Source organism: Homo sapiens, chromosome 11, assembly GCF_000001405.40.
Source record: "Homo sapiens chromosome 11, GRCh38.p14 Primary Assembly".
NCBI lineage: Eukaryota > Metazoa > Chordata > Mammalia > Primates > Hominidae > Homo > Homo sapiens.
In genome coordinates this window covers 107,461,001-107,471,073 of record NC_000011.10, presented here as the reverse complement: position 1 = coordinate 107,471,073, position 10,073 = coordinate 107,461,001, and positions in this window count along the sequence as shown.

The following is a 10,073-nucleotide window of genomic DNA, read 5'->3' as shown; positions in this document are numbered from 1 at the left end:
AGAATATCATTACCATAAAATCACCAGTCTACAATTTTCCTTATGAGTCCTCTCTGATAAATCAGAAGATTGGAAAGTCTCTAAAACAAGATAACAGAGGCAAAACAAAAATATCAGCTTGCTATTAAATATCTTCAATGCATATCAAAACCCAAAAGCCATACTGTTCTTGGAAAAGAACATTTCAGAGCCATCTTTTTTTCCATTAGGCATATCTACATTTTACTTTTACAAACAACAATTTAGAGTCAACAATTTAGTAAGAACACAAGAACTTGCCATATAAGATAAAAATAAACATTTTAAAAATAAAATTAAAATTATAAATAAATTAAAACTAATGATTTTAAATAGCAAATCATTACAAATGATTTGTAAAAAGTTAAAAATAAATAATAATTTAAATAGATAAATAAATATATCTATTTCTGAGGTGAGGATAGAATAAAGATCTTAGTCCTCTGCTCTTTCTCCCCTCTCCATCCACATGTGCAAACATTGTGCATCATCCCTGCATGTCTTTCTATAGTAAACTATTTCATTCACAAGCAATAAGTGACTCATTAAGAAAAACAGAGAAGAGGTGAAAGAGGTGGGGTTCAAGATTACTGTTTTTCTTTCATTTTATCTTTGCCTGAGTTGAGGCACCCAACTTAATGGATCTGGTCAATTGCTTCCCAGTAGCATCCCTTAACCTTTTCTCTAGCTCCAGTGTTTCCAATAAAATAAGCCTGAAGGCTGGGTTGAATTCACTGGTTTTTGTTTGTGATAAAAATACCTTGTCAGTGATTCTATATACTTCCTATTGCATCGTAAGGTACATAATGTCTGGTATGCTTCCTTTTGTGCTTATAGTTTTAAAAAGAAACCAAAGAAGAATTACCAAAGGTTAATAATAATGATTACCTATAGAGGAGTGAGGAAAGAGAGGGAGAAACAAGCGTAGAAACAAAACTTCTCTGATTGTATTTTGTTGAAACTGAATAGACATTCACATAATTTAAAAAGAGCATCCCAGGCTGAGGGAATAGCACGCATAAATGACAGAACATGTGCAGAATAAAGGGAAATGTATTGTTGGCCTCTGATGGGTTGAAGATGCATATTTAAAGTTTCTAGATGTAGGTGACTGGTTAAACAAAGGTGGAGGAAGATTCCTTCTTTCCACTAGAATATAAGCTTAGTGAGGGCAGGGCCTTGGGGCCTATCAGATAATTTGATATAAAGAACCTCAGTAAATGTTGAATTTATGAATGAATTTGGTCTATCCATTGGTAGCACTCTTCTATAATATCTTGCCCCTGTATATTTTATTCTAATGTGTAAAGCAGAAGAGGAAAAATCAGCAGCCTCTGGGGGTGAGCTGGGATAAGGGAACTCATTTGTTTGGACCTCAGTTTCCTCCTCTTTGAAATTACTGGGTTGGAGCAGATTATTTCTAAAGTTCTTTCTTTCCATATCTAACAGTCAAATTATCAAGGCACCCACTTAGTACCAATGTAATCATCCTCTTTGTGTTCCCCCTTAAGTTGATGATGGAGAAACCAACACACTATAGCAACGTGTGAAAATTAACAGCCATACACCATGCAAATGTGTATAAAAGGGCTAATAAAAATTCCTAGACCAGCATTGTCCAATAGAACTTTCTGTGATGATGAAAACATCCTATATCTGTTTTCTCCAATATATATTCTCTAGCAACATGACTGAAAAACTGAATTTAAAATCAAAATAGGCACATGTGGTTAGTGGCTACCAGAGTGTCAATTTCTGACTGGCAGAAACATTAGTCTGGGAAGGCTTATTGGTGAAGGTAATTCTTGAAAATGAGAAAAAGGAGTACTCTTGCAGTGAAAGATTAAGCAAATCTGAATTCAATCAAGAAAAGATTTATTGAGCACGTACCATGGCACCATATTAGGCGCTGGGGATAAAGGTACATTTGACATGATCCCTATCAAGGGTTTATATGTCCAGGAGGAACATACATGAAAAATAAATAATTACAATGATGTGTCAAGTGTTCATGATAGGGATGGTTAATTATCCCCCAATATCTATTCCACTTTCTACTTTTTATTTATAGAACTTCCTGAGTTTTAGCTGAGCACATGTTTGCTCAGCTAGAAACCACATTTTCCAGACTCTGCTGCAACTAGTGGTGATCATGGGACTAACGTTCTAGCCAATGGGATGTGTACAAAATGATATGTACAACTTTGGGATCACATTCTCTAATGAAACTGCTTGTCTGCCATCTGCTTATTCACGCTCCCTGTGGGCTGACATACAGATGTGATGGCACTGGGCCAACTTTGAACTTGAATATGAGGAAATACTCTAGAGGCTGGTGGAGCCACAAGGAATCTGGGCCCCTGGATGGTGGAGAAGCGCCATCACCTGTCTCTGACTATCCTCCTATGGGTGGACCATTAGCCAACAGTGTTCACACCTGTCTCATTTACCTGCTGTATTCTGGGGTTCCTCTGTTACAGCAGCTTAGCCTATACCCGACTAAATACAGTGATTTAGCAGAGGAAAGGAAAAGTGGTGTGGGAACAAATATTCCATCCCTGTGGAATCCGTCAGATTCATCTGAGGAAGTGGTTTTTAGCCAAGTCTTGAAAGTATATAGATTGAGTGAGTGATCATATGTATGAGTAGTATCAATGAAATAGCTTGTTTCTAAAGTTCAGAATACTGGAAATGAAATTTTAAAATCTCTGTGTAAACTTTATATTTTATTTACACAGCAGCTGTCAAATCTTACTCAGAAAAAATATGAGCTTTCTGGTGCCAAGAGAGCAACATTTTATAGACTATGGTCTTCAAGATGGAAAATGTACCACTGTGGTCATTTTGTTGCTATAATTCTTTATTGTGATAAATGCCATCACCAAAGAACCTACACCAAGGAAATCAAGGAATACCATGAAAAGTAGATTCACTTTTGGCCCCAGTATCTGAGCCCTCATTCTCTTCCCAGTGCCTGGTTCTAAAACATGTATTAGTTATGATCTTAAAGAAACATGGATTAGACATAATTATCTGTTCAGTGTGGTCATATAAAAATAGAACAAACATAAAATAATGTTTATGCACTTTAGTTTTGAGCCAAAGACATCAAGTTTTATAGGCTTTATCTGTGTCTCATAATTTTGTTTTCTATCACGAAAGTCTTCCAAGTCAATTTTACAATGTGAAACTCATTTGGCACAATTAAGATTGATTAACTCATTTCTGTATCTATTAAAAAGTAGCAAAGAAAAACTTGGGTAATAACTTGTACATGGTGAGTCCCTCAGATGTTTTTAGAATAAGCAAATTAATGCTTTATTTTGTTTAAATTATTATCCAACCACTTCTACTCCTTGACAAGAAAGAAATGACTCGTTTAAGGCTGAAGTTTCTCATCTGTCATTGAAAAACAATGCAGAATAGTGGTTAAGTATGTATACAGGGGAGCTAGACTAACTTAACTCAAACCCTGGGTCTACAATTTACTAATGGTATGAACTCTGGCAAATTATTTAACATCTCCATTCCTCAGTTCTTCATCTAAAAAGTAGGCATTATAATAATAACACTTATAGCATCTAAAAAGTAGGCATTATAATATTAACACTTATATAATTCAAATGAAATTATAAGCCACAGATAATCATTTATGGATTAAATGAATTAACTTTTATAAAGTACTTAGAACACTACCTGGCACATATTAAGCCCTATATGTTTTGGTTAATAAACTACCTTTAGGAGCTATTATTTTGAAAAGACTGACAGAAGCAAATTATGTTTCTCTGTGGTATGGAAGGTCTAAGTCAGGAATACTCTTGATTCTTGCACTTCAGGGGAGGGCATGTCAGAATCTCTAGTCTTACATAGATTGAAGAATTATATTTAATATTATAAGCATACTTAGTATTACAACATATTTCCATATTTGGAAAAACTTAATCTAGTTTTCTAAAAATATAAACTATTTATATAAAATGTGACAGTATGCCCAGCAAGCAATTTTGAAGATATTGACGAACTGATTCTTAATTTTATATGGAAGGAAAAAAAAGCCTCAAAGAGCCAGCACAATAACTGAAGAAGAACAAAGTTGGAGGACTCACATTACCTAATTTTAAGACTTACTATAGGAGAGTCTGGCAAGATGGCCAAATAGAAACAGCTCCGGTCTGCAGCTCCCCGTGAGATCAATGCAGAAGGCGGGTGATTTCTGCATTTTCAACTGAGGTACCCAGCTCATCTCATTGGGACTGGTTAGACAGTGGGTGCAGCCCACAGAGGGCGAGCCTAAGCAGTGCGGGGTGTTGCCTTACTTGGAAAGTGCAAGGGGTCAGTGAACTCCCTCCCCTAGCCAAGGGAAGCCATGAGAGACTGTGTCATGAGGGACGGTGCTATCCAGCCCAGATACTATGCTTTTCCCATGGTCTTCACAACCCACAGACCAGGAGATTCCCTCCGGTGCCTATGTTACCAGGGCCCTGGGTTTCAAACACAAAACTGGGCAGCTGTTTGGGCAGACACTGAGCTAGCTGCAGGAGTTTTTTTTCATACCCCAGTGGTGCCTGGAATGCCAGCAAGACAGAACCATTCACTTCCCTGGAAAGGGGACTAAAGGCAGGGTGCCAAGTGGTCTAGCTCAGCAGAAACCACCCCCATGGAACCCAGCAAGCTAAGATTCACTGGCTTGAAATTCTCGCTGCCAGCCCAGCAGTCTGAAGTCGACGTGGGACACTTTAGCTTAGTCGGGGGAGGGACGACCACCATTATTGAGGCTTGAGTAGGCAGTTTTCCCCTCGCAGTTTAAACAAAGCACAGGGAGGTTCCAACTGAGTGGAGACCTCCAAAGCTCAGCAAAGCCGCTGTAGCCAGACTGCCTCTCTAGACTCCTCCTCTCTGGGCAAGGCATCTCTGAAAAAAAGACAGCAGCCCCTGGCAGGGGCTTATAGATAAAATTTCCATCTCCCTGGGACAGAGCACCTGGGGGAAGGGGCGGCTGTGGGAGCAGCTTCAGCAGACTTAAACGTCCATCCCTGCCTGCCAGCTCTAAAGAGAGCAGCAGATCACCCAGCACAGTGTTTGAGCTCTGCTAAGGGTTGGACTGCCTCCTCAAGTGGGTCCCTGACCCCCGTGCCTCCTGACTGGGAGACACCTCCCAGCAGGCAGCAATCTTTGCTGTTCTGCAGCCTCCGCTGATGATACCCAGGCAAACAGGGTCTGGAGTGGACCTCCAGCAAACTCTAGCAGACCTGCAGCAGAGGGGCCTGACTGTTAGAAGGAAAACTAACAAACAGAAAGGAACAGCATCAACACCAACAAAAAGGACGTCCACTCAGAAACCCCATCTGAAGGTCACCAATATCAAAGACCAAAGGTAGATAAATCCATGAAGATGGGGAGAAACCAGCATAAAAAGGCTGAAAGTTCCAAAAACCAGAATGCCTCTTCTCCTCCAAAGGATCACAACTCCTTCCCAAAAAGGGAACAAAACTGAACAGAGAATGAGTTTGATGAACTGACAGAAACAGGCTTCAGAAGGTGGGTAATAACAAACTCCTCCGAGCTAAAGGAGCATGTTCTAACCCAATGCAAGGAGGCTAAGAACCTTCATAAAAGCTTACAGGAACTGCTAACTAGAATAACCAGTTTAGAAAAGAACATAAATGACCTGATGGAGCTGAGAAACACAGCACGAGAACTTCATGATGCATGCACAAGTATCAATAGCTGAATCGATCAAGCAAAACAAAGCATATCAGAGATTGAAGAGCAACCTAATGAAATAAAGCATGAAGACAAGATTAAAGCAAAAAGAATGTAAAGGAATGAACAAAACCTCCAAGAAAGATGGGACTATGTGAAAAGACCAAACCTGCATTTGATTGGTGTACCTGAAAGTGACAGGGAGAATGAAACCAAGTTGGAAAACACTCTTCAGGATATTATCCAGGAGAACTTCCCCAACCTAGCAAGACAGGCCAACATTCAAATTCAGGAAATACAGAGAACACCACAAAGATACTCCCCAAAAAGAGCAACCACAAGACACATAATCATGAGACTCATAATCATCAGATTCATATAATTATCAGATTGAAATAAAGGAAAAAATATTAAAGGCAGCCAGAGAGAAAGGTCGGGTTACCCACAAAGGGAAGCCCATCAGACTAACAGCAGATCTCTCTGCAGAAACCCTACAAGCCAGAAGAGAGTGGGGGCCAATATTCAACATTCTTAAAGAAAAGAATTTTCAACCTGATATTTCATATCCAGCCAAACTAAGCTTCATAAGTGAAGGAGAAATAAAATCCTTTACAGACAAGCAAATGCTGAGCGATTTTATCGCCACCAGGCCTGCCTTACAAGAGCTCCTAAAGGAAGCACTAAACATGGAAAGAAACAACTGGTACCAGCCACTGCAAAGACATACCAAATTGTAAAGACCATTGACACTATGAAGAAACTGCATTAACTAATGGGCAAAATAACCAGCTAGCATCATAATGACAGGGTGAAATTCATATATAACAATATTAACCTTAAAAGTAAACAGGCTAAATGTCCCAACTAAAAGATACAGACTGGCAAATTGGATAAAGAGTCAAGGCCCATCGGTGTGCTGTATTCAGGAGACCCATCTCATGTGCAAAGACACACATAGGCTCCAAATAAAGGGATGAAGGAATATTTACCAAGCAAATGTAAAGTAAAAAAAAAGCAGGGGTTGCAATCCTAGTCTCTGATAAAACAGTCTTTAAACTAACAAAGATCAAAAGAGACAAAGAAGGGCATTACATAATGGTAAAGGGATCAATGCAACAAGAAGAGCTAACTATCCTAAATATATATACACCCAATACAGGAGCACCCAGATTCATAAAGCAAGTTCTTGAAGACCTACAAAGAAACTTAGACTCCCACACAATAATAGTGGGATAATTTAACTCCCTACTGTCAATTTTAGACAGATCAACAAGACAGAAAATTAACAAGGATATCCAGGACTTGAACTCAGCTATGGACCAAGCAGATCTAATAGACATCTACAGAACTCTCCACCCCAAATCAACAGAATGTACATTCTTCTCAGTACCACATCACACTTATTCTAAAATTGACCACATTATTGGAAGTAAAACACTACTCAGCAAATGCAAAAGAATGGAAATCATAACAGTCTCTCAGACCACAGTGCAATCAAATTAGAACTCTGGATGAAGAAACTCAATCAAAACTGCACAACTACATGGAAACTGAACAACCTGCTCTTAAATGACTACTGGGTAAATAATGAAATTAGGCAGAAATAAATAAGTTCTTTGAAGCCAATGAGAACAAACACACAACGTATCAGAATCTCTGGGACACAGCTAAAGCAGTGCTTTGAGGGAAATTTATAGCACTAAATGACTACAAGAGAAAGTAGGAAAGATCTAAAATTGACCCCCTAACATCACAATTAAAAGAACTAGAGAAGCAAGCGCAAACAAATTCAAAAGCTAGCAGAAGACAAGAAATAACTAAGATCAGAGCAGAACTGAAGGAGATAGAGACATGAAAAACCCTTCAAAAAATCAATGAATCCAGGAGCTGTTTTTTTTAAAGATCAACAAAATAGACCACTAGCCAGACTATAAAGAAGAAAACAGAGAAGAATCAAATAGGTGCAATAAAATTGATAAAGGGGATATCAACACTGATCCCACAGAAATACAAACTACCATCAGAGAATACTATAAACACCTTTATGCAAATAAACTAGAAAATCTAGAAGAAATGGATAAATTTCTGGACACATATACCCTCTCAATTCTAAAGCAGGAAGAAGTCGAATCCCTGAATAGATCAATAACAAGTTCTAAAATTGAGGTAGTAATTAATAGCCTACCAACAAAAAAAAGTCCAGGACCAGAAGGATACACAGCCGAATTCTACCAGAGGTACAAAGAGGAGCTGGTCCCATTCCTTCTGAAACTATTTCAATCAATAGAAAAAGAGGGACTCCTCCCTAACTCATTTTGTGAGGTCAGCATCATCCTGATACCAAAACCTGGCAGAGACACAACAACAACAACAAAAAATTTCAGGCCAGTATCCCTGATGGACATTGATGTGAAAATCCTCAATAAAATACTGGCAAGCCGAATCCAGCAGCACATCAAAAAGCTTATCCACCATGATCAAGTCGGCTTCATCCCTGGGATGCAAGGCTGGTTCAACATATGCAAATCAATAAATGTAAACCATCACTTAAAAAGATCCAATGACAAAAACCACATGATCATCTCAATAGATGCAGAAAAGGCCTTCAATAAAATTAAACACCCCTTCATGCTAAAAACTCTTTAATAAACTAGGTATTGATCGAATGTATCTCAAAATAATAAGAGCTATTTATGACAAACCCACAGCAAATATCATACTGAATGGGCAAAAACTGGAGGCATTCCCTTTGAAAACCGGCACAAGACAGGGATGCCCTCTCTCACCACTCCTATTCAACATTGAATATTGGAAGTTCTGACCAGGGTAATCAGGCAAGAGAAAGAAATAAAGGGTATTCTAATAGCAAGAGAGGAAGTCAAATTGTCTCTGTTAGCAGATGACATGATTGTATATTTAGAAAACCCCACCGTCTCAGCCCAAAATCTCCTTAAGCTGATAAGCAACTTCAGCAAAGTCTCAGGATACAAAATCAATGTGCAAAAATCACAAGCATTCCTATACACCAATAACAGACAAACAGAGAGCCAAATCATGAGTGAACTCCCATTCACAATTGCTACAAAGAGAATAAAATACCTAGGAATACAACTTATAAGAGATGTGAAGGAACTCTTCAAGGAGAACTACAAACCACTGCTCAAGGAAATAAGAGAGGACACAAACAAATGGAAAAACATTCCATGCTCATGGATAGGAAGAATCAATACTGTAAAAATGACCATACTGTCCAAAGTAATTTATAGGTGCAATGCTATCCCCATCAAGTTACCATTGACTTTCTTCACAGAATTAGAAAAAACTACTTTAAATTTCATATGGAACAAAAAAAGAGCCTGCATAGCCAAGACAATCCTAAGCAAAAAGAACAAAGCTGGAGGCATCACATTACCTGACTTCAAACTATACTACAAGGCTACAGTAACCAAAACAACATGGTGCTAGTACCAAAACAGATATATAGACCAATGGAACAGAACAGAGGCCTCAGAAATAACACCACACATCCACAACCATCTGATCTTTGACAAACCTGACAAAATCAAGAAATGGAGAAAGGATTCCCTATTTAATAAATGGTGTTGGGAAAACTGGCTAGGCATATGCAGAACACTGAAACTGGACCCCTTCCTTACACCTTATACAAAAATTAACTCAAGATGGATTAAAGACTTAAATGTAAGACCTAAAACCATAAAAACCCTAGAAGAAAACCTAGGCAATACCATTCAGGACATAGGCTTGGGCAAACACTTCATGACTAAAACACCAAAAGCAATGGCAACAAAAGCCGAAATTGGCAAATGGGATCTAATTAAACTAAAGAGCTTATGCACAGCAAAAGAAACTATCATCAGTGAACAGGCAACCTACAGAATGGGAGAAAATTTTTGCAATCTGTTCATCTGACAAAGGGCTAATATCCAGAATCTACAAAGAACTTCAACAAATTTACAAGAAAAAAACAACCCCATCAGAAAGTGGGCTAAGGGTATGAACAGACACTTTTCAAAAGAAGACATTTATGCAGCCAATAAACATATGAAAAAAAGCTCATCTTCACTGGTCATTAGAGAAATGCCAATCAAACCACAATGAGATACCATCTCATGCCAATTAGAATGGCGATCATTAAAAAGCCAGGAGACAACAGATGCTGGAGAGGATGTAGAGAAATAGGAATGCTTTTACACTGTTGGTGGGAGTGTAAACTAGTTCAACCATTGTGGAAGACAGTGTGGTGATTCCTCAAGGATCTAGAACCAGAAATAACATTTGTCCCAGCAATCCCATTACTGGGTATATACCCAAAGGATTATAAATCATTC